The sequence below is a fragment of the Homo sapiens genome, chromosome 11, assembly GCF_000001405.40.
Source record: "Homo sapiens chromosome 11, GRCh38.p14 Primary Assembly".
NCBI classification, from domain to species: domain Eukaryota; kingdom Metazoa; phylum Chordata; class Mammalia; order Primates; family Hominidae; genus Homo; species Homo sapiens.
The window spans coordinates 94,543,663-94,568,048 of record NC_000011.10 but is presented as its reverse complement, the minus strand read 5'-3'; the positions used below and the strand labels follow the sequence as shown (position 1 = coordinate 94,568,048).

The window sequence follows — 24,386 nt, the reverse complement described above, 5'->3', positions numbered from 1 at the left end:
CTTTCTCTATAGTGGTTGCTCAAGAAACAGTAGTTTAATCTAAACCACATGTGTGAGAGTACTTATTTTTATATACTAATTAGCCAGAAAAACTGCATTAGATTATATGCCGTGTAATGTTATGAAAGCACATCACTTTTTACAAGGCAATTTAAAACGAAATCATGAAATTAAAACTCAGAAAGTAGAAGAGAATGACATATTTGTCCCCAATCTTCAGTCCTCTTTACTGGCTAATATACCTACGTTAATATCTTACTCAGACAAGATCCCTAGAAGGAGAAAACTGTTAGAAGAAACCTTGGAAAGACTCAAACTTGAGAGAAAAGATAACGCACTACTTCGTAACAGAGAGGAGGAGATACATGCAGAGGAAGGCATTGTTCAGGCTAGAGACAGAGGTAGGAGAAAACGAAACCATGCGCAATAAGCATTCTACACACCAATGGCGAGGCTTGGATGCGCCCCACTTCTGTGGCACTGGGGCTGCGGGCGATGCCTCTGGCCTTCACTCGGGCTCTTCCACTCATGTTCCCGGTGAGCCCAGAGTGGCCACAAGAGCTGCAAAGTCTCAGTTAGGATATGTTTTGCTTTGGCTACAGATGGCGACGGTGTGACGGCGAAACTGCCTGGAGGCGGTGGATGTCCAGCATCCACAACCAACGCCGGGGCTGGAAATGCGTCCGAGGCCCGTGCGTGGGTGGAGAAGGCGCGCTGGGGCGTAGGGGTTGGCGCGAGCACGTGGGCCTGTGCAGGACTTCCTTTTTCTTCCCATTACTTCCACCCCCACCCCCAAATTTGGCATTATCCAGCTTTTTCATTTTTACCAATCTTATGTGTATTGGGTGGCATCAAACAATAATTTTTTTTTCAGTTTGTATTTTCTGCTCACCAATGAGGGTAAGTACCTCTTCATACATGTGATAGTTTTGGAGTTTTCCATTCTGCAAATTGCCTGTCGTATCCGTTGCCCATTTTTAAAGTTGAGTGTCTCATCTTTGTGATTTGGAAGAAAACTTTTTTTTAAAAAATTGCAAATATGCAAATATCTACTTCCTATCTATCACTTGTTAATTTTTACTATGAAATGCTTTAACCAAAATCCTAAATTTCGATGTTGTCAAATTCAGCCATTTTAAAATTCGTGCTTTTTGGGTCTTTTTAAAAGAAAATTCCACCTGTCCTCAGTTTACAAGGACAAGGACATTATATAATATTTTCTTTTCATTAACTTCGTAAGTGTACTGTTCACAGCAAGTATCTTCAATCCCTCAGGTATTTACACTCACACATATGTAAGTATACATGCAATGTGAGTGAGATAGAAGTCCAACTTTATCTCCATATAGTGAGCCATTCTTCCTTGACATCATCTGTTAAATAGCATATACTTTCTCTAATACTTTGTGAAGCCACCTCCAGCAAATGACAGATTCCCACGTATCAATAGATCTAGTCTGTGCCTTCCATTTCTGCACCAAGACTTCAACACTTTGTATCATTATTTCTTTGTGTTATTCATAGAATCTGGTGGTATAAGTCTTTGCTTTTTGATATTTTTTCCAACTGATTTATTTATTCACAGACTTTATTCTTCCATATAAATTTTAAAATAAGTTCGTCAAGTTTCTTTAAATATCTTGCTTAAATTTCAGTAGCATTGTATCCAATATATAAATCAATTTAGGAAGAACTTACATCTTTACAATGTTAGATTTCTCCATTTATTCAAGTCTTTCTTTTTATCTTTTAATAGAGTTTAATTTTTTTCATAAAAGTCTCATATACTGAGTTAACTTTTGAAAATTTCATAGTTTTTGTTACTATTGTGAACTATATCTTCTTGTCATGTTTCATACTTGGTAATTATTAGTGTAGACACATGATACTGGTTTTTGTAAAGTTGATATTGTTTATCAAGCTTGCTGAATTCCTCAGTTCTTAGAGCTTGTCTTTTGATTTCATTGAATTTGTATGTAGATAATCATATCATCTACAAATAATGATAATTTTGTCTCATCCATTCTTATTCTTTTTCTTTTTATTTGTTTTTCTTGTCTTATGTTGCTCAGATTTTTCAGTACAATGTTGAAGGTTACTATGGTAGTTGGAATTCTTGTTTTCTTTCTGATTTTAAAGACTGAAATGTCTCCATTTTGTTTGATATTTGCTATAAAAATCTATTTTATAGACCTTATCATCTTAAGAAAGCTTTCTTCTATTCCTGCTTTTCAAAGATTATTTTAATTATAAATGTGTGTAGAATTTTATTAAATACTACCCTGGATTTGTTGAAAAGCTTGTGCTGAAGTTATAAGGGCACATGTACAGGCTGTTCATCAGAGTATTATTTGGAGTGGCAGGTAGTTGCAGGCAGCTTATGTGCCCATCAGAAGGGCAACAGGTAGGTAAAATGTGGTAGACACATGGAGTGGATTACTAGGCTAACATTCAGGAATAATGACCTAAAAATATATTTAGCAACATGAATAAATCTTAAACACATTGTATTGAATAAAGGAAAAGCTTAAAAAAAGATTGAGATCTATACAATGGTAAAATATTACATTAATTTTTAAAACATTAAGGACACCTGTATATGGGATATGTACTAATTTTTTAAGTAAATATATATATCCAAGAACAGACACAATAGATTATGTACTTATATAAGGGAATAAAACAGGAATGTGAATGGGGCAGAGAAAGAGAAAGCAAAAGACAGTATAATATAATATAGAACTTGCACAGACCCGTGAGAATCATACAAAATGAATCAAAGAATATGATTAATTCAATTTTCTGTACTTGGGGACTGAAAATTTAATAAATATAATAGCTAATGTTTATTGAATACCTACAGTATGCTAGGCATTATTGCCCCAGTTTTATAGATTAGGAAATTAAAGCTTAGGCAAACTAAGTGACTTGCCCAAGGCCCTACATTATGTGGCATAGCTGGGATCCCAATTCAAGTCTGTCAGCCTGTAAAGCTCACACTGTATCCACTCATCTTCTACTCTCCTCCCTCCAAGAAGGTGATCTGCCTTACTTTTGATGCAGCTCTTACTATAGGAAAAAGCCCAAAGCCTGTGTGTTATGCCCTGCTCTGCCATTCTATTTATTCTCCATTAGAATACCCTTTCATCAGGTTCTCTTGGAACATATTAACCCTGACTGCTGGCAAGTGCAAGAGACAATGATGGCCTTGGGCAGAGATGGCCAGCCTTGGACTTGGTTCAGTGAAGCTACTCTAATGAATAATAATAGATTTCTTTGAAAATGAAAGAGTCTGAAAGTTGTGAGTGATCATAAACTGCTGTGCTACAAAGGAGGGGCAGATGGAAAACACAGTGTGGACAAGGAATCTGCTTCTGAAAATCTGTGCTTTGTTTCTGAATGTAAGAATAGTCTCCAGCCCATGTTTTCCAAATTTACCACCTCCTGATACCACATTCCTTTTCATGTGACCTGCATTGATGTGGTAACATGACAGAGTGACAAGAAAGGCTAAGAATACATGAGACCTTTGAACAGTCAGATCCCTTCGATTTTCCAAATACTAATGTGTTATAAAATCAGAAATATTGATGATTTCTAATTATTATCTGCATTTTTCAACTCTCTTCTATGATTGCTATGATAACCGACATACAAATCAGTCACATTGTGCCTTCCACATAGGGTTTTTTAAATGCACGTGTACTTTCCCTGTGGGAGTGATAGATGCAGGAGGAAGATAAGAGGGGGGTTCCCGGAGAACCTCTGACTGGCCTGCACACTGGGAGAATGGGGTTGGAGCCACAGCAAGTTGGAACCAACCGCTGGCAGTGGGGAGGAGCCTGGGCTCTTCAGTTCCTATATGTGGCCTGGAATGAATCTCTGAGGTGGGGGCCTGTCGCTTTGCTGAAAGTTTTTTTCCTTCTCGCCCAATAAATTCTGCTTCCTCACCCTTCAATGTGTGTGCATGCCTAACTTTTCCTGGTCATGTGACAAGAACTCGGTTTTAGCTGAACTAAGGAGCAAAGTTCTCCATCAGTAGGGAGGCAGTACGGTAAGGTTACAGGTATGCATGGCATAAGGTTAATGTCAGGCAGACCAGAGTTTGTATCCCAACTCCATTGTTTACTAGCTTTCTCACCCAAGGAAATTTATGTAATCTCATTTAGGCTCAGTTTATTTGACTATAAAGTGGGGATAGTGACACTAGGATTTCTCAGCCTTAGCAGTATTCACATTTTGGACTGGAAAATTCTCTGTTGTGGAAGGCTGTCCTATGCCTTGCAGGATGTTTAGCAGTATCTCTCGCCTCTACTCACTAGATGGTAGTAGCATTCCCTCTAATTGTAACAGCCAAAAATATCTCTAGACATGACTCACTGTATCCTGGAGGGCAAGTCACTCCTGGCTGAGAATCGCTGAGATATGTCTACCCCAAGGATTGTTTTGAGGATTAAATGAAATAATAATGATGTTTGTATGGTGTTTGCCACACAATAAAAATTGCATAATTTATTATTATTATTATCGTGTGTGGTGAACAAATTTTATAAAAATGAATTCAGTACATTTTTTGCAGTGTGTCATACTTTTGAACTTGCATCAGGATCACTCCATGTGCATGTATTGGCTCAGGATACTGCTAGTCATAGGTGCCTCTTGTCTCATGCCACCCTTCCTTCACATTTTTCTCAGTCCACCTTTCAACTCCAGCCATTGCTATGGCAATCAACTGCACACAGTGTAACCTGATAGCATCGCACCTCAACTGAATCCTGTATCTCTCAGTTCTGTCTAGGGCTTCTCTGCTACAGCAGGACACCCACTCAGCCATACTGACACAGAAGCAAACCTCAAGTTAACACCTTCATGGGGCAACCTTTCGCCAAAAGGGGTGGGAGAATGTGGATAAATCCTCCCTCTTCCATCCACTGGGCAGACAATTCTACAGTGCATTCTTTAGCCTCACAGAGGGTCCGTAGTGGGGTCAAGTACCAGATGCCACAGAAGTCATGAGCTTGATAATGCATTCTTGAGTTGAATTTCATCCTCCCTTATTTCACTCTTCCCAGGCCCTCTCTCCTGTTCCTTGCTGTCACTAAAATAAACCACCCACTTTCAAGCCCTTATCTCAGGTTTATTTGGGAGGAAACTTAAGCTAACATAGTTCAGTAGGAAAATATAGTATTCATTCTAAAACAGATTCCATGCTTGCTGTGAAATACTGTAAATGGTAATGGTTCCAAGCATTAGTATCTAAATGTCCAAGCATTAGTGTCTAAATTTTATCAATGAGAAGCCACAGTCCGAAGATTTGCCTAAACTCATCCTGCAAGTCAGCTGTAAAAATTAGTTTTTCAGTTATTCAGTCTTGTCTGTGGCTGTAACTTAATTTTTTAAATGATTTTTTATTAGGTAGACCCTGATCATGTACAAGTGTAGGCCTGTTCACATCAGCTAATTTATTTGACAATACCCATGGTTCCTGCTAACACAAAATTAATTCCTCAGGCACAGGTGTAGGTGGTTCAACATCTGTAGAATTAGTGCATCAATATGTTACCTTCATTGGGCCTTCTTTTAATAATACTGGATTAATTTTGAACTGTCTCATTCTTTTAACTTTTTATTTTGCAATATATCACATTTACAGAAAAGTTGCAAGGATAACGCAAAGAATGCCCATAAACCTTTTACCAAGATTCACCAATTAACATTTTGCTATATTTGCCTTATTATTTTTTCTTTGTATGTGTGTGTGTGCATATATATATATCTATATATATATATATATTTTTTTTTTTTCTGGTCCATGTTGCAAAGAAGTTGACATCATGACCTTTGACTCTTAAATAGTTTAGTGTGCACAGCAGATCTTTGAATAATGTCGCTTCATTCAACATCATTTCCTTATAATGTTGATGAGAAAAAAATCTATTTTCAGCCACGGCCCCTGGAGTGGGCATATTCTTCCCATGTCTACCTGAGTTTTATCTGGATACTCCAATTGCCTCCCACATCCCAAAGCTGTGCGTGTTAGGTTCATTGGCATGTCTACAAGGTCCACGTCTAAGTGAATGTTGGTGTGGATGTGAGTGTTCCCTGCAATGGAATGGAGTCCTGTTCAGGAAGGGTTCCTGAGCTGCTGGGATAGGCTCCAGCTACCCATGACCCTAAACTGGAAAATGTGGGTAAATAATTATCTTACTTGTTTTTATTAATCTTTCTTAAATGTATGTATAGCTTACATTTCAATGTTTAATATTAGAAGTGTTTTGAGTCTGTATTTAGAAGTTTGGTGATATCTTTGTCACCAGAAGTAAGCCATAGGAACTTAACTCTTGTTTACATCAATTAGCCGCCTATGGTAAAATTGGTTTCATAATACGTTGTTTGGCTTAAAGTCGAAGTTTCCAAGAATCTACTGACAACGTTGAGGACTTACTATATTTGTTAGGTGTAAGAATATTTTTCATTCCCTTATACAACAACAGTACAATTATCTACATCAGGAGATTTAAAATGGGTAAATACTACTGATTAAACTATAGTCCATAGTTAACTTTGCTAAGTGTCCTCAAAAAAGCAATTTTTTTTCTGGCCTGGAATATGGTTAGGTCAGAATAATGCATTGCATTTAGTTGTCATGCTTTTTTACTCTTCTTGAATCTGTAACATGAACAGTCTTGCTTTCTTTTTTAAAACAAATTGTGAAAAATATATTATTGATATGTTCAGAGAAAGAAAAATTCACATTAAGCATTAGATGTTAAACTGCTTAAACATTGTAATGGAAATCTTTCCAAAATGCATCATCTGCTTCCTTGTCCCATTGTGCTCCAGAAAGGATTTAAGATTATTTCTATATGTACAAGATAAAAGAGGAGGAAATGGTTACAAGAGAGAGCTTTTCTATTCCCTAGTTCTTCCCCTAGTTTCCTCTCCATTAGGTTTGCACTTCCTCACATAAGCACTCTCTTTCCCTAAGAAAATCCATCCACCTCCAACAGGAAGTCCCCCATTCCAATGACCCAGTGATGTCATTTTGACTTTCCTCAGCTGTAAGCACTTTCCTTTGTGAGCTCTTTCTTCCATTACAAGAAAAAATTCTCTCTCTCTCTGTCTCTCTCTCTCTTTTTTTTTTTTTAATAGATGGAGTCTCACTCTTGCCGCCCAGGCTGGAGTGCAGTAGCACGATCTCGGCTCACTGCAACCTCTGCCTCCTGAGTTCAAGCGATTCTCCTGCCTCAGCCTCCCAAGTAGCTGGGACTACAGGCATGTGCCACCATGCCCAGCTAATTTTTGTATCTTTAGTAGAGACGAGGTTTCACCATGTTTGCCAGAATGGTCTCAAACTCCTGACCTCAGGTGATCCGCCCGCCTCGGCATCCCAAAGTGCTGGGATTACAGGCATGAGCCAGCGTGCCCAGCCAAATTTTTTCTCTTTTGATTTTAAAAGAAATTAAAACATTTTCATGGGCCCCCAAAAGCACTGTGGGCCCTATGCACTGTGCTTATGGTGCCCAACAGATAACACTGGTCTTGCTCTCACCCCCATATGCATTCTGCAAACTGAGTGATTAGATGTAGAAGCACACTCAGTGAATGCAGCAATCAGGTCAGGGATGGCCACTGGCTCCCAGGCCCTACAGAAGCGTGCAGAAGGTGGGGTGAGGGAGGATCCCTGGCCCTCTAATGTCAATGGCCAGGGTAGACCTGGGTCCTTTGCAGTAGTCCCTTCTGTGTGAGCTGCAGGCATGTCCACTTACTCTGTTTAATTATGGAATGTGTTAGAGCAGTGCATGCATCTCTCCCAAGGACAGGTAACATATAGAGGAGGGTAGGGAGCAGGACCGCCTCCATTCATACTGGGAAAGGAAATATTTTCTCAATTAGCAAAGCTCTTCCCTGTTTTCCCCAAGTCAGTACTTCCGCCCTTATTGTACGGAGTTGTATTTGGTGTCTTTCCAGCTCCAGCTTGGGGCCTACCAGGATAAACAAGGAAGTTAGATTCCCTCAACATTGGCTGCTTATTTTGTTACCCTAAGAAGGGTCTCCCAATTTATGACTATAGTAAGGACTCAGTTAAAACTTTTGATTTTCTCAGTGCTGGGTGATTGGAATGGAGGGATATCTTTCATTAGCAACTCTGTAAATAAAGGAGCATTACCAAGAGTAACAAACAGGCCTAAGATCTACAAAGTTCAGAGTTGTTGACCTCAGTCTGAAAAATTGGGAACAGTAAGCCTTCTGTTAACCACTGAACTCAGCCCCAGTAATTCCCTTACTGAACTCATGCCTCAAATAACAATGACCCCAATCCACACTATTGTCAGACTTCATGGCTAGTCAAGTCTTCCCACATGGAGTATGAAAGCTGAGATTTCTTGAGGTAATACGATTCAAATTTGGTAACATCCTAATTGGTTCAGACCCTGTTTTGGCTTAATACTATGGTAATATTCACTAGGCAAAGAGAAGGTTGTTGGGACATTGGGGCTTAGTCTTTGAGGGGGAATTTCCTGAGGGGGTGGGTGAGGGGAGTCATGAGTGACTCAGCTCCAACAGGACTGCTCTATTCTAATCTGTTTCATATATTGGGATTCTACATAAACTTTTGTTTGAAAATTAGATTCTGCTCTTTTAAAAACGAAGTTTGAAAGCCACCAATATAGTCTTTTTTTCTTACTTTTATTCCAGAAACTACCTAAGCAATCCTAAACAGAAGCTTAAATATTTAGAATGTTGATCTTTCATCCACCTAATCTCAAGGTGGTTCACAGGGAAAACCAGTAGCCTTGGAGTCCAAGACATGTAGAATCAGCCTTTGCTGTGCAGTGAGGAGCTGTGTGATCCGAAGTGAGTAGCTCCGCTTCTCAGTTATCTGTAACAAGAGGATTATAAAACTTAGCTCAACAGGGGGTGTTGTGAGTGTAAAATGGGATAATGTATGTAGGGAAGTACTCAGCTTAGATAGCCATATTGCAGCTTCAATAGAGTTCACCTTCTCTGAGCTGCCGTCTTCCCACTTAGGTCAACCTCATGTACTCTCCCTGTTAAAGGAACTTCTTCGCTACCCCATGGTACAAAACTCATTTTCTTTTATGTGGGTCTCAGCAAAGATAAAAGATGCTGTTACCAGAAAGGGGTCCCAATCCAGACCCCAAGAGAGGGTTCTTGGATCTCGCACAAGAAAGAATTTGAGGCAAGTCCATAGAGTAAAGTGAAAGCAAGTTTATTAAGAAAGTAAAGGAATAAAAAAAATGGCCACTCCATAGGCAGAGCAGCAGCATGGGCTGCTGGTTGCCCATTTTTGTGGCTTTTTCTTGATTATTTGCTAAAAAGGGGTAGATTATTTCATGCTTCCCCTTTTTAGACCATAAGGGTAACTTCCTGACATTGCCACAGCATTTGTAAACTGTCATACTGCTGATGGGAGTGGAGCAGTGAGGACAACCAGAGGTCACTCTCATCACCATCTTGGTCTTGGTGGGTTTTAGTCTGCTTCTTTACTGCAGCTTGTTTTATCAGCAAGGTCTTTATGACCTGTATCTTGTGCCAACCTCCCATCTTATCCTGTGACTTAGAATACCTAACTTATTGGGAAAGCAGCCCAGCAGGTCTCAGGCTTATTTTACTCAGCCTCTATTCAAGATGTTGTTGCTCTGGTTCAAAGGCCTCTGAAAATGCTGGATATCATTCTGAACAATGAGCCCTCATATGCTATAGAAAATTACTTCTTTAGTTACTTGTTTATTTTCTCTTTCCTCCAGAAGATTCCACCACGAGTACTTGAGCCTTGCCTGAGTGTTCACTGCTTTATCCCCAGCAACTAGAACAGTGCCAAGCAACTTGGCAAAATATTTGTTGAATGATTAAAGATGCTTGAAGACCATGAGAAAATTCCCCCATAGCTTTTTCTTCTCTGGTTTATATTGTCTCATCACTTCACATGCTTCCATAAAGAACCTTTATTCCAACTCCTTAATCATGTTTCTCAAATCACTCAACAACTTTGGCAATTAAGAAAGCAGAATACTAGTTAAAGTAGGATGAAACTGTTTACTCTCACACATTATGATATACAGAAATAAGTTTAATCTTTCTTCCTTAATTCAACTTGCTTACTGTCTAGGGTCTAGGCACCAGACTGTTATACTTAATAAATAAAGTGAGATATTATATTCATAATATCAAGAGAATGCAAGTGGAATTTTAAGCAGAATGGCAGGATTGCCAAAGTTGATGTCTAAATAATTGTGGTTAATGGTATATGCTACATGCTTATAGAATTACTGGTTAATAAAGGACATTAACAAATCTTTAAAGAAGACACCTAGGAGAGTACATCTAATTTTCCAAAATGCTATATAATACTTTAGATTATTTTAGCATGAAACAATGAAAAATAAGTTTAAAACTTTATTAGTCATGCTAGATGAATGCTGGCAAAATAAAGTGCTTTCAAACAGAGCAAGGAAGATGTAATGAGTAAGACATTCATTTCTTTTGGCTTCAAAAGGAATTTGTTAAGATTCATGGGAAGCATAAATATAATGTAGAAAAGTATAAAAAGAAGAAACATTTAAAATGGCATTTGAATTACTAAGAATTTTATGTTTAATTATGTATGGGGCATGATAAATAGATACTCACTTAAAACTTCAGAAAATACTGCCAGCCAAGTGTTTATAGTGCTCTGAAAACTCAGATACATAGCCCAGTGAAATACAGGGGAACTTTGTAGTCAATCTCTCTGATTTGCGTTACAGACTGAGAATCAGAGAGCAAAGCTGTCTGTGCTACTATGAGTTAATCACCTTTACATCACACCAGTCCTTTTCAATAAATGAATAATATTATTTCATGCCAAGATTTCTGCCTGTCATTTGTGTGGGGTAATCTATTCTAACCTTCCTAACCTTCCTAATGTGCTGGCTTGACATCTAGGATAGCGCCACACAAAGCTATTGGCACATTGGCCAGTTCAGTCTCCTGATTCAGAGTATCCCAAACAGGAATAGCATTGAATCTATTCCTATTAAACCAGCAATGACATTCTTCACAGAACTGGAAAAACTACTTTAAAATTCATATGGAACCAAAAAGAGCCCGAATAGCCAAGGCAACCCTAAGCAAAAAGAACAAAGCTGGAGGCATCACACTACACAATTTCAAACTATACTACAGGGCTATAGTAACCAAAAAAAGCATGGTACTGCTACAAAAACAGACACACAGACCAATGGAGCAGAATAGAAAGCCCAGAAATAGGGACACACTCCTGCAACTATCTGATCTTTGACAAAGCCGACAAAAACAAGCAATAGAGAAAGGACTCCCTATTCAATAAATGGTGCTGGAATAACTGCAGGCCATATGCATAAAATTGAAACTGGACCCCTTGTTTATACCCCATGCAAAAATTAACTCAGGATGGATTGAAGACTTAACTGTAAAATCCCAAACTATAAAAACCCTGGAAGACAACCTAGGCAATACCATTCTAGACATAGGAATGGGCAAAGATTTCATGACGAAGATGCCAAAAGCAATTGCAACAAAAAAATTGGTAAATGGAATCTAATTGAACAAAAGAGCTTGCGCACAGCAAAAGAAACGATCAACAGAGTAAACAGTTTACAGAATGGGAGAAAGTATTTGCAAACTATGCATCTGACAAAGGTCTAATATCCACAATCTGTAAGAAACTTAACCACATTTACAAGAAAAAAAAAAACCCATTAAAAAGTGGGCAAAGGACATGAGCAGACTTTCATGAACAGACTTTTCAAAAGAAGACATACATGTGGCCAACAGGCATGTGAAAAAAAAACTCAATATCACCAATCATTAGAGAAATGCAAATCAAAACCACAAAGAGATAACATCTCACACCAGTCACAATGGCTATTATTAAAAAGAACAGGGCTGGGCGCGGTGGCTCACGCCTGTAATCTCAGCACTTTGGGAGGCCGAGGCAGGTGGATCACCTGAGGTCAGGAGTTCAAGACCAGCCTGGCTGACATGGTGAAACGCTGTTTCTACTAAAAATACAAAAAATTAGCTGGGCATGGTGGCACGTGCCTGTAATCCCAGCTTTGTCTCTGTGATCCTTGTGCATTAATAAATCTGATTGACTGACTGATTTTGGATTTCTAGTTATCCCACTACCACTCTGTTTTCAGATATGGAATTTATACAGATTAAGCTAAATTGTAATCGTGGTAGAAGATAATATATGCCAGGTCGTAGGAGACACACATATTTGGACATTGATTGGCCACAGATAACCTTTATGGCAGCATCTTTCTGGAAATACTAGTCTTATCACTTGCACAATATCAAGATGATCAGGCAAATCAGACAAGTCAAAGCTATTACATACTGTTCCAATTACATCAAGAGTCTATAGGTGCAGATTTAATCTCAAGTATAAGTTCAAATAACTGAAATATAACTAGAATTCTGCCCAGTCCACATTGAGGAAAAAGGAGAATTATAGGAGTGGGAAGAGAGGGAGGAGGAGGAGACACATTGATTATTGTTTGGGGACACAGCTACGCTTAGACAAATGAAAAAAAAAATGAATAAATTAAGTAGCTACACATGAAGGAGCAACATGAAAATTAAAAGTACTTTGAACATGTACTTTTGGCATCACAGTGGCTTCTTCTAAGTTTAATAAATTGGTATAGTATATAATCCAAGTAATAAAAATAACTATAAATATGTGCATAATGAGTTATGAAAAGAAAAGCAACGAATTAGTCTGGGTTTTTTTTTTTTTTTTCATTTTTTGAGACAGGGTCTCTCTTGCCCAGCCTGGAGTGCAGTTGTGTGATCTCAGCTCGCTGCAACCTCTGCCAGCTAGGCAGGCTGTTATTATTAAAATAATACCGAAAATCAGAGTAAAAAAATTTGAGCTCTGATAATTGGAATGACTAGTGCCCAAATTTTATTACAGCTTCTAGTTATTTCTGTTTGCCTGCAGCTTAAATTTTAAGTAATATAAACCTATTAATAATAGAAACATAATTCTCAACAAAGATGTCTTACATATGATCATAGTTCCAGCATAATGACATGATAACAAGACAGGACATAGCTGATATTTAAGAGGAGATAGGTACATTCTAGTGTTCCAGTTGTAGAAAAATCCACATAAGGAACAATCCACAAATCCACACTACATCAACAATACTTAGGCCAAAATGTTGCGGACAGCTACCAAATTCCTTTGCCAAGTGTTCTTCAAGTTTTTCAGGTTAAAAATTTGGGGTTCAGAAGTCCCAGTGGACAGCTCAGCAGCATCACCCTGCTCACCCCCATGCCCCCATCCCAGTACACACACACCTCCCCTCCCGCTTCACTCACAGGCAAAAAGATTTTGTTAAGATTGGATCCCATCCACTATAGATGGCCTAAACCTGCAATCACCAATCTGTGAACAGGGAGGCTGTCCTCCAAAATTACAGTACCACATTTCCAAACCCAAACTTGGGAAATATGGAGGAATAGGCACATATTACAAAATATTATAAATTAAAAGTACCTGAGGAAATCCAGGACCTGAAATAAGTCGGGACCTGGAATCAATGGGCTTGACTCTGTATCACTCTAGAGCCAGTACTGTTTCTTTATATTACCAGTGTTCCCTGTCCATCACTGGGAATGCAGAAAATTAGAAAGCTCGTAGAATGATGAGGAACCCAGTACCAGAGCGACCCTGGACCCTGATTCCTGTAATCCTGGCCAGTGATGGTGATTATACTCCAAATCACATGGACTGGATACCTGAAACAGCAAGGCTGCTACCCATGTGGCCCCATGTCATGTCCACCTGGAGAGTATTATACTTATCTCACAAGATCACAACTGCTGTTAACCTGATACTGGCCCTCACCATAAGGTTTGTAGGCTCTTGTAAACACCATAAGAACTGCTGGCAACCACCCAAGGCATTGCCTCTAGTGAGTCAGCCCACCTTGTCCAAGAAGCCCTTCCCAGTCCTGTCTCCTGCTTCATTCCAAATATCCAGAAACTGAGACTCCACAAGCCTCCTGGTAAACCAGTGCTAGAGATGTGCCCCATATATAGATAAGAAAGATATATATATATATAAAAACATATATATTATATATATAAACATATATATTATATATATAATATAAACATATATATATATACACACAAAAAATAAGCCGGGCGCGGTGGCGGGCGCCGTGTAGTCCCAGCTACTCCGGAGGCTGAGGCAGGAGAATGGCGTGAACCTGGGAGGCGGAGCTTGCAGTGAGCTGAGATCGCGCCACCGCACTCCGCCTGAACGACAGAGTGAGACTCCGTCTCAAAACAAAAAACAACAACAAAAAAAACTTAGACTTAATGAAAGAGTACGATAGTGAAAGAACACAGACTTTGGAGTCAAATAGACCTGTTAGAATCCTGGCTCAGTTACTATCTGCATAATTGTCCATGATTAACATGTTGATTCTCAGTTTTCTTATCTCAAAAATTGAGATAATGTCTGCGTTATCTATTGCTGCATAACAAACAAACCCTAAAACAAAAAACATCGAGAATCCTGGTGTGGCCTAGCTGGGGGTCTCTAGCTCAAGGTCTCTCGTAAGATTGCAGTTAGGATGTCAGCCTCATCTGAAGGCTCACCTTGGGGAGAATCATTTCCAAACTCACTTGTGTGGTTGTGGTTGGCAGGACTCAGGTTTTTTTGGTGTTTTATTTTATTTATTTATTTATTTTTGAGACAGAGTCTTGCTCTATCACTCAGGCTGGACTGCTATGGCGTGATCTTGGCTCACTGCAACCTCTGCCTCCCAGGTGCAAGCGATTCTCCTGCCTCAGCCTCCCAAGTAGCTGGGACTACAGGCGCACGCCACCATGCCCAGCTAATTTTTTTGTATTTTTTTAGTAGAGACTGGGTTTCACCATGTTAGCCAGGATGGTCTTGATCTCCTGACCTCGTGGTCTGTCCGCCTCGGCCTCCCAAAGTGCTGGGATTACAGACGTGAGCCACTGTGCCCAGCCTGGACTCAGTTCTTAGCCAGCTGTTGGACCGAGGATCTCAGAGGCCTTTCTCAGTTTCCTACCACAGGGCAGTTCACGCCACATCAGTTGGCTTCTTTCAGAGCAACGAAGGCAGAGGGTGAGAAAGGGCTCCCAAGAAAGCAAGCTGGTCTTTGTATAACCTAATCTCAGAAGCTTCAGCCTTGCATTTCTCCCATATCCTATTCATTCGAAGTGAGTCACTAAATCCAAACCAAACTCAAGGGAAAGAATACAGGAGGGCATGGATACCAGGAGGCAAGGACCAATGTCAGTCATCGTGGCTGTGTACCACAATGCCTTTAACTAAAGAGTTAAAAAACAGAACAATACTTAGGTAAAGCATCCTGTGTATAGTAGGAGCTTAATAATAACAAATATTAGTGAATTAAAACATCTGGCAAAGAATCCTAACTTCAAAGCCACAAATTTGTACCTCCCCAAGAAGGCTTGATAAACCCTAGGTTATCTAAAGTTATCTAAAGGTGTTACTGTTTGATCACCAAGATGGATGTGCTTAATTATATTTCAGAATAAGTTTCAGCTAATGGAACAGAGATTTTTAAAACATGTACTTAACATATGAGAACCAGAAAAATCATAGGGTAAGGGCAGGTGTTCCTAGTTGCTAGGAGAACAAAATCCCTATAGAGATTAATCATTTTGAAGGTGATGCTTAATAATAACACTTATTTTTAACTGCAGTATTAGTGAAAACCATCAGGTGCCTAAAGTGCTGAGACTGGAGCCTGCAGCACTTATATTTCCCAGAAATAACATTAAGATGACTTAGTTTTTGATGAAGGACATTCATTCCTGAAATGCAATCCTCTGACAACTCTGAGGCTCCTACTGACAGTTATTTAAATTATTTGGTTCTACATTTGATCTAACATATATATCATGTGTTGGGATTATTTCTCAACACGACTGTTTCCCTGACAAGGCATACGCTTGTCCAACAGACTATTTTGAGTGCAGGGTCCCTGCTTTAATTTTATTTACATCCCGAAGTCCTAGCACAGTGCCTGCACATAGAAGCCACTCGAAAAATGTTGGTTAAAAGTTGCTGATTTTAGTCCCATTTCTTCCCCTTTTAAAAATAATTCAGATTAAGATGCTTAGCACTCATGGTCTCATAGGGCATTTTTTTTTTAGTATATTAGGTGAGATTCAGTAATTTTTTTTTGGGATAGGATCTCTTTGTCTCCAGGCTGGAGTGCAGTGGCGCGATCTTGGCTCACTGTAGCCTTGACCTTCTAAGTTCAAGCGATCCTCCTGCCTCAGCCCCTTAAGTCATTGGGACTACAGGTGCGCGCTACCATGCCCAGCTAACTTTTGCATTTTCTGTAGTAACAGGGTTTCTCTGTGTTGCCCAGGCTGGTCTTGAACTCTTGAGTTCAAGGGACCCGACCACCTTGGCCTCCCAAAGTGCTGTGATTACAGGCATGAGCCACTGCACTCAGCTTCAGTAAGTTTTTAAAACATTCATTTGAAGATCTGAAAATAAATCCATCATAAAAATCCAATTCTTTAAAACTTACTTGAAATAGCTTTTTTTTTTTTTTTTTTTTTTTTTGAGATGGAGTCTTGCTCTGTCGCCAGGCTGGAGTACTGTGGCATGATCTCAGCTCACTGCAACCTCCAAATCCCTGGTTCAAGCAATTCTCCTGCCTCAGCCTCCCGAGTAGCTGGGACTACAGGAACCCACCACCACGTCCGGCTAATTTTTTGTATTTTTAGTACAGACGGGGTTTCACTGTGTTAGCCAGGATGGTCTCCATCTCCTGACCTCATGATCTGCCCACCTCAGCCTCCCAAAGTGCTGGGATTACAGGCGTGAGCTACCGCACCTGGCCTTCTATTCTTTAAAACAGTAAATTGGTGATTATGACAACATAACAAAATATACTTCTTTAAAAGTGAATATTGAGTACAGATGAAATATGCTGTCTAGAAATGAAAAAGTGGCCATGAATGCGAATTTTCCAAGATGAAGAAAAGGACCATTCATTCAAGTTCAAGAATCTGTTGTCATGAATCAAGGGACAGTTCTATATTTCTGCTAAAATGTTAGGTGATTTCTTGTTAAGTTTCTGACTTTCCCTGTCAGTGAGTTCAGACTTCTTGATTTGACTCCCCATTTGCTGACAGATGCTGCGTTTCAAGCTGGAGCAAAGGTTTCTTTTCAGCATTGTGGCAGAGAATGGTAGATTTTAACCTATTTCCTCATTCTTGCCGCATATGTTCCTCCTTTGTCCTGCCACTCTTGCCGTTTAACACTTATCTTTCCTCTACTTTTCTCATGTTTCCTAGCCTCTGCCTTTCTTCTATCTGATCGTCTCTTCACTTTGTACTTTTATCCCCACCCCCATCTTTCTTTTCCTCTTCACTCCCCATCTATATTCACCACCTGCTCTATTTTACAATGCACTTTTCTTTTTACTCATTCATTATTGAATCCTTTTTTCTTGCCAATCCTGCTCCTATCTTCAGCTGGCCATCATAATTTTTCAAAGTCTGTGCTTAAATGAACATGTCAGAGTGTGTGTGTGTGCATGCATGTGTGTGTGCGTGCGTGCGTGTGTGTGGTGTTGGAGGAGGGCAGGTAGGAAAGAAGAGACAATAGTTAGTGTTTATTACCACTTCGTATTTTCCTATTTCAATAATTTAAGCATCGGCTGTTAAGAAGAAAGCTTGCCTCCCCTTCTCTCTGCCCATCATCATGTTCCCAGTTCTGATCCTACTCTTTTTAAAATGGCATTTAATTTAGTGAACAGGAGCTAGAGACAATACATGGAGGGCATCACATCAGAGCACTCAGGAAAATAAACTGGACTGAGAGAAAGGAGTATACTACTTATGCCCTTGGAGATGATTCCTCAGAATAAAGTGGAAAAGACAGGCAAGAAAGAACAAGAGGACAGGCTGAATTGGACTTTGTGCAACACAGAAGAGGCAAAGCCATCACATTCCAATTACCAATCTAGAACTAGTGAACTTACAGAAACTGCCCCAAGCCAAGAAATATCCCATGGGTGACGACTGAACACATTAGTGCATGGAGGATATACATTATAAACAGAGTCATTTTCCATCTCATTATTTTAATCATTTTGTCAAAAAATCTGAACATGTGTACATAAATACTTGATTTGTTAAAAGAATGTGTAGCATAGAAATCCCTGAGACACATTCAAAAATGACTTGACATCTTGACATGTATTCAATGCAAGTATTCACCAAACTAAATACCAAGGACTTGGCTCCTTTCCCTGATATTTGAGGCATATAAAGCTTTAAAAATATATATAATATACTATATATATAATTTACATCTTTAAAGTTAAATTATATTTTCTTTCTCTGATTCCTGGTTTTCTGCCAGTTTACTGCTCCTGCATATTGTCAGTTCCAGACTGTAAGGAAGCCACATTGGAAAGCAGATAAGCACTTTCAACCTTAGGGTGCCAGTTAGTAGAATGATAGCACGTGGAACTAGGAGGTCCCAACAGATGATTTTGTCTAACCCACTCATTTTGCAGTTCAGGTGACAGAGGCTCAAAGAGGTTGTGATTTGCAGAAGCATGGCTGGTTCTGCCACTGCTATTGTAATGTTATGCAAGTCCTTCAGTGGGCCTGGACCTTGGCTCCTTCCTCGGTAAAATGGACTGATGGTAATCACAGCGAATATTTTCCAGGTGCTTCCTACATGCCAGGCACTATCCTGAGTACTTCAAGTGTCTAATCTATCCTCTCAACACCTCCATAAATTATATATGCAAAGCGTAAAATATTTACTCCCTGGAAAAACGTTTGCCAATCCCTGGTTTAGATCCTTGAAAATTTAGAACATCTTATAATTATATAGCACTTTACAATATACAAAGCACCTTGGCATACATCATCACATTTAATCTTTGTTTTGTAGGGGGATAGGCATTCATGCATTGTAAAGGAGAAAGCTAAAACTCAAGAGTTTAAGTAACTTGCTTCATCAAGGCCACAGAGTCATACCCAGGTTCTGACTCCAAACTGCATGCTCTTTACATGAAACTCCTCTGTCTCCCCTAAATTACTGCTAGGAAAAGACTTGGAAACTGGAAAGAACTTGTGAATACTGAAAGCAAGTCAGACCGTCTTCTGTTACAAATGTCATTCCAGGTGCATTCATGTAATTAGAGTCATCAAGTACTAAAAATACTAAATTTGTAATAAATTTGAGGGAAAAGCCTTAAAGGAGGACATGACAATCATAGGAAAGGCATTTTGAAATACATACAGTGCACCGATATGCATTTTTCTTAAGGTATGTTAGAGCTGAACCTACTCAATTTAATATATGCAAAATAAAATGAGCAATTGCCACATTCATCTCGCTCTCTGATGAGATTAGTGTTAAATTGTTCCACATTAACAATGTGTATGTGAATAAAAATGCAATGGCTGGGCACGGCGGCTCACACCTGTAATCCCAGCTCTCTGAGAGGCCGAGGCAGGTGGATCACAAGGTCAGGAGTTCAAGACCAGCCTGCCCAACATGGTGAAACGCAGTCTCTACTAAAAATACAAAAAATTGGCCAGGCGTGGTGGCAGGCGCCTGTAGTCTCAGCTGCTCGGGAGGCTGAGGCAGGAGAATCGCTTGAACCTGGGAGGCGGAGGTTGCAGTGAGCCAAGATCACGCCACTGCAGTCCAGCTGGGGCTACAGTGCAAGACTCCGTCTCAAAAAAAAAAAAATGCAATTATACCTTCCTCATGCTAATTATTCCATAAATAATATGGTTAGTTCTAAATGGACTTAATACTAAAAAAAAATTGGTAAAATAATAGATACCAATTTATAGAGCTTTACCAAAACGAACCAAAAAAATATTTTCAAAGAAAGCCTAGGTGCTTCTTCCTAGTTTGCAAGTCAAGCTTAATCTAAATGGTGATTTAGATTATCCTTTTAATTTATTCTACAACATACCTTAAGATATAATTTTAGACCTATAAATAGATATGAGGACATCCTGAAATCACTGCAAGCAAAGAAGGAAGATATAAAATCATCAATTGGGTGCCTGCTATTTTAGGTACTTTCACTTACTTCCTAAAGTGCTCAAAATGAGCTTGTGAAGTATTTTCGCCAGTCATTTTATAGATGAGGACGCTGAGGCTCAGGACTACTACTAATTTACCCAATGTCACATAGCTGGAATTCAAATCTAAACTAGGTTACCTTCAAAACCTGAACTCTTTCCCACTGCCCCATGTGGAATCCCGGTAACACCAAGATCACTGACTGTTATCTCATAAAAACTCATTTTAAGAACTGAACTTTTATCTTTATTCGGTGGCTGGCACTTTGTAATTGTAATTCTGCCCACACTTTAATACTTTAATGAGGACATTTTCTCCACAGCTTTTCATTTGTCCTCTCAAGAAAGTGAATTGAAGCACCTAGATTTAAGTGAGCTTTTCAAGTATGTCTGCAAAAACATGTACAGAGAGGTAAAACTTGCTTTATGATTCAGAGAACTGCACTAATCAAATGCAAAATGACTATTTACAGCAGAACTCTGTATAAAACTAGTTAATCTTGACCCTACCCACAATAATTAGTCACTGAGGGTCCTTATTCTAATAAGTGGAGGAGAAAACTCCCATTATTTCAGGCTTTAAGTCAACTAGCTTTCTAATATTGATTTATGGTATCATTAAGACTGTCACAGTAATCAAACAGGTTCTGCCAATTGTTTTATCAGTCACCATTTACTTTTTGGAAGTGATAGATTGTAAGAGCCCTAAAGAGAAGGACTTTGCCTTGTATAATTCTCTATCTTCCCTAGGGCCCCAAGCTCAGTGTCTGGCAGAGTAGGCATGTAGTGGCACCTGCTGAATATGCTGCTTACTCAGTAACTTGTCAAGTCAATGCATGTATGTTCAAGATTGGTTCCATAGCACAGTCTCAAGGGCACTAGAAATGTGAGGATATGCTATACCACTGCATTGACTGTGAGGGGAACCTGCTGGCACCAGGGAGAAGCGCAGATTTAGCCTTTAACAAGAGACAGAGTAAGTTAATAGTAGGCACTAATGTAGTTCTGAGGATCTAAACATTTAACTAAAAACTGTCAGAGATAAACAAAAACTGCCAACAACAGATATCATGAAACTTTTTTTCCTTTTGCATGATTCCATAATGTAGTGCAATACCTTTCACTGTTCTGCAGAGGGTAATGCCAGCACTCCTGCAGGACTGGCATTGCAGTTTAAATTTCAGGTCCAGTAAAGACATGAAATAAATAATTGTGTGGAAGTGACACTATGGCTTCCTTCTCTTCTGTCTGTAAACACAGACTGGTTTTCTGGGAAGAGGGAAAAAGGTTGCTTCTGCTTTATTTTCACATCTGTAATTTTAATATGATTTAAAAAATCCAGGTTATAGAAAAACATAAAGACAGAAGAAACAAATTAGGAGATGACTATTCACATTGTAAAGGGATAAATTCTCCATAGGGTTTCATTAAATACTGAACTCCCCTAAGTCAATGAATTTGGGACTTGATTTAAATGCAGCTTTTCAGGAATACATTTCTTATGTAAAGTGAGGTACACGCATGTATTCATCTTAAGTTTCCTCCAAGGACAATCCAGCACTTTGCTTCCATTCACAGGACAGGGGAACAGATAGTACTTGTGAAAGAAGTCAGCGGCCCCTCTTGGACTGCCCTCCTCACCTTTCTCAGGAGCCAAGGCTGTGAGGAATCCAAACAACAAAGTCCCACCTGCAGCCACAGTCCTTCCACTCTCCACCAACAAGGCTCCTTCTACAACCACAAATTTGCTTCACCTTGGTCCAGAAAAACGTGAATCGGGAACAGTTGTGTATGAGATTTGGAAGCTGCACGGGCCACAAATATGGCCTGTGGCAGATGGGGAAATTCAGGAAACCGCCTCAACGGCTTCTTGCCGCTAAGCTATTTCATTTCTGCACTGGTTACAAGGTGAGGAAGAACCCCCTCCTTCACCCCTAAACAATGATGCCCATCAGCAGCAAAGGGAGCCCAATTGCTAGCTGTGCAAAAAATATGGAAACCGGGCCCCCATCTCTGTGCTGAGTAATATTAATTGGTAAATCGTTTTTTTCCCATAGAGCAAAAATGGGTGTTTGAAGAACTTACTCCCATGATGCGGCAGTCAAGGAGATGCACAGTAGAGGATCAAAAAGCTGACAACTTGGCCTCCCCTGGGTCGCTTCCAGGGGAGCGCGGCTTCACCGCTCGAACCAGCTGGCCAAGTTCCGTATGCTCTTGGGCCGGTCCCCAGCCCTCTGTACAGCCTGGCACACCCGGCACCAAGGCTCGTCCCAGAAGGAGGTGATGTGGACAGCGTAGCTCCGGCGCCAGTGGAAGTAGCGGCGATAGACCGCGGGGTTGCGGTCGAGGAAAAGCAGGTACGAGGCCAGGGAGGAGGCACTTGGGAAGTCGTCCACGTGGATGAAGGCGCCGCGGGGCACAAAGCGCTCGTAGTTGGCACGGTCTGGGCCCAGCACCACCGGCACCGCCCCAGCGAGCAACGCGTTGCGCCAGAGCTTCTCGGTGATATAATCCAGGTGCTGCGAGTTCTCGAAAGCCAGGTAGAACTTGTAGCGGGCCACTGTGTGCAGGAGCCCAATTTCGGGCACCGGCTGCCCCGGCCCGCCCCGGCCGAACACGTCCACGGTCACATGTTGGCTCAGTTGGTGGTAGTAGCGGACCCGGGCCTGGCGCTCGTCCCAGTGGCTCACCACCCATGCCACCAGCCCCTGTTTCCTGGACAGTGGCGGGGCCAGGCCTGAGGGCGGGTCGCCGGGGTGGCTTCTGGGGTAGAGGTAGCCATAAGGCACAAAGACGTCCGAGTCCGCCCGGTAGGAGAGCGTCCAGTTGAAGAGGTTACTTGCCAGGCTTCGCAGCCCCGGGGAGTGCGAGGGCGACTCGAAGTTCATCCAAACCCAGCGCTGGCCCGGGGGCCTGGGGCTGGAGGTCGCCAGGGCTTCTGCCGCCGCCGCTGCCTCCTCGTAGTCCAACACGCGCAGATCCACCTCCTCGGCAGTGTGCGCCTGGATGCCCCAGGGCGGGGGCCAGTCGGGGGGCCCCTTCACGAGGTCGCGGTGGTGGAAAAGCACGGCCTGAGCCTCTCCGTAGGACGCGCGGTCGGTGAGCAGGCGGCAGCCGCTGATGTTGAAGCGCAGCCGGCAGTCAGGGGGCGGCCTCGGGGCGCTATCGCGCCCCCCGAAGGGCTCCCACCACAGCAGCACGCCCACCGGTCGCGACGGGGTTGGCGACGCCCAGGGCAGCGGCGGCAGCTGCCCCCAGCAAGCGTAGGTGATCAGCGCCGTACACGTCAAGCCGGCGGCCGCCAGCACACAGACGGTCCATGGCAGCCCCCGGCCTCGGCGCCACCCGCGCCGCCCGCCCGCCGCCGCCGTCGGCGAGCCCCACGGTGCCCCCATGGCGCGAACAGGCAGCGCTGCCTCCGCTCGCCACGCGTCCGCAGGCGTGGAGGAGCGGCACCGGCTCTCATGCTGTAGCTGCGGCTCCAGCCGTCGCTGCCGCTCGCCGCTGGCCCGGGAATGGAAGGGGGCGGTCCCAGAATGCAAAGGCCGCGGGCCCTGCCCTGCTCCTCCCAAGTGCCGGGCGGGGCGAGCCGCCAGGGCAAGGTGAGCTGGCCAGGACGCCCAACCGGGCACCGCCCGTCCCTTTCTTCCACTGCGCCCGGGGCCCAGCCGGCCCGACCAGGCCCCGGGAGCCTCCTGCGGCGCCTCCGCCCACTCCTTCTCCCAGCCCGCGCCCGAGGGCTTCCGGGCCGCGCCCCACAAGCGCCTCATCCGCTACTCTTGATTCTCTCTCAACTGATCCGGTTTCCCTCTGCGCGCGCCCACCGCCCTGGCCCTCGCTCACTGTGGCCCGAACCCTCGCCTTCCAGAGGGAAGGCCCGGTTCATCCCTGGGAAGGTACAGGAGGCTCGAGACCTTCTAAAGCAGCTGCCGCGCAGGAGCAGGCCCTAGAACAGACGGAAGGCGGACCCGGCGCCGCGGAACGGAGGATAGCGTCGGCTTCCTGCCGTTGGGCCTAGCCACCCGCCAGCGACGCCCGCCGGAGGGAGGGATTGAGGGAGGGAGGGAGTCCAGAGGCCGGGGGAACGTGCGAGCAGAGGCGCGGCCACCGCATCCGTGGCCAGGATCTCGTGGCCCGCCGAGACGGTCGAATTGTGGAGGCAGCCCGCAGCGGCGTGGCCTTCAGAGTCTCTGCATTTGGTGAAGAACTTAAGTTTTCAATGTGAGTGCTCATAAGAACAT

At 42.0% G+C, this 24,386-nt stretch overlaps 2 protein-coding genes and 1 long non-coding RNA gene across 4 annotated transcripts in view, besides 4 other annotated features; 1 reads left to right on the top strand and 2 right to left on the bottom strand.

Moving 5' to 3' along the window:
* Positions 1-681, bottom strand: part of PIWIL4 (piwi like RNA-mediated gene silencing 4) — a 54,054-nt gene extending 53,373 nt beyond the window's left edge. The window contains exon 1 of the mRNA NM_152431.3: positions 444-681. Within this exon, the coding sequence (NP_689644.2) occupies positions 444-530 (87 nt within the window). The 5' untranslated portion in view covers positions 531-681. The remainder of the gene's footprint in view (positions 1-443) is intronic.
* Positions 1-22,717, top strand: part of PIWIL4-AS1 (PIWIL4 antisense RNA 1) — a 195,024-nt gene extending 172,307 nt beyond the window's left edge. Inside the window, exon 5 of one of the 2 annotated variants that reach the window (NR_135093.1) lies at positions 22,203-22,717. This is a non-coding gene — a long non-coding RNA (PIWIL4 antisense RNA 1). Of the gene's footprint in view, positions 1-21,723; positions 21,859-22,202 lie in introns of those variants that run through there. The other variant, NR_135094.1, reaches the window with a different exon arrangement.
* Positions 143-642: an enhancer, noted in NCBI's record as "H3K4me1 hESC enhancer chr11:94300573-94301072 (GRCh37/hg19 assembly coordinates)". NCBI's record gives its function as "activates a minimal SCP1, AML or CMV promoter by ChIP-STARR-seq in naive H9 embryonic stem cells {active_cell/tissue: H9 hESC(naive)}" and the evidence as "EXISTENCE:reporter gene assay evidence [ECO:0000049][PMID:30033119]".
* Positions 643-1,144: an enhancer, noted in NCBI's record as "H3K4me1 hESC enhancer chr11:94300071-94300572 (GRCh37/hg19 assembly coordinates)". NCBI's record gives its function as "activates a minimal SCP1, AML or CMV promoter by ChIP-STARR-seq in naive H9 embryonic stem cells {active_cell/tissue: H9 hESC(naive)}" and the evidence as "EXISTENCE:reporter gene assay evidence [ECO:0000049][PMID:30033119]".
* FUT4 (fucosyltransferase 4) lies at positions 18,154-24,128 on the bottom strand. Its single transcript, NM_002033.4, has one exon. It carries the CDS (start codon positions 23,913-23,915, stop codon positions 22,323-22,325), a length of 1,593 nt encoding a protein of 530 aa, NP_002024.1. The 5' UTR covers positions 23,916-24,128; the 3' UTR covers positions 18,154-22,322.
* Positions 21,877-22,551: an enhancer, noted in NCBI's record as "H3K27ac-H3K4me1 hESC enhancer chr11:94278664-94279338 (GRCh37/hg19 assembly coordinates)". NCBI's record gives its function as "activates a minimal SCP1, AML or CMV promoter by ChIP-STARR-seq in primed H9 embryonic stem cells {active_cell/tissue: H9 hESC(primed)}" and the evidence as "EXISTENCE:reporter gene assay evidence [ECO:0000049][PMID:30033119]".
* Positions 23,371-23,940: a silencer, noted in NCBI's record as "silent region_3843". NCBI's record gives its function as "represses an Ori minimal core promoter by ATAC-STARR-seq in GM12878 lymphoblastoid cells {active_cell/tissue: GM12878}" and the evidence as "EXISTENCE:reporter gene assay evidence [ECO:0000049][PMID:35858748]".
* Positions 24,129-24,386: the final 258 nt, after the last annotated feature.

What these genes read in the sequence shown, in the direction of transcription:
- FUT4 (NM_002033.4), bottom strand. Translation starts at nt 23,915, where the DNA reads ATGAGGCGCTTGTGGGGCGCGGCCCGGAAGCCCTCGGGCGCGGGCTGG.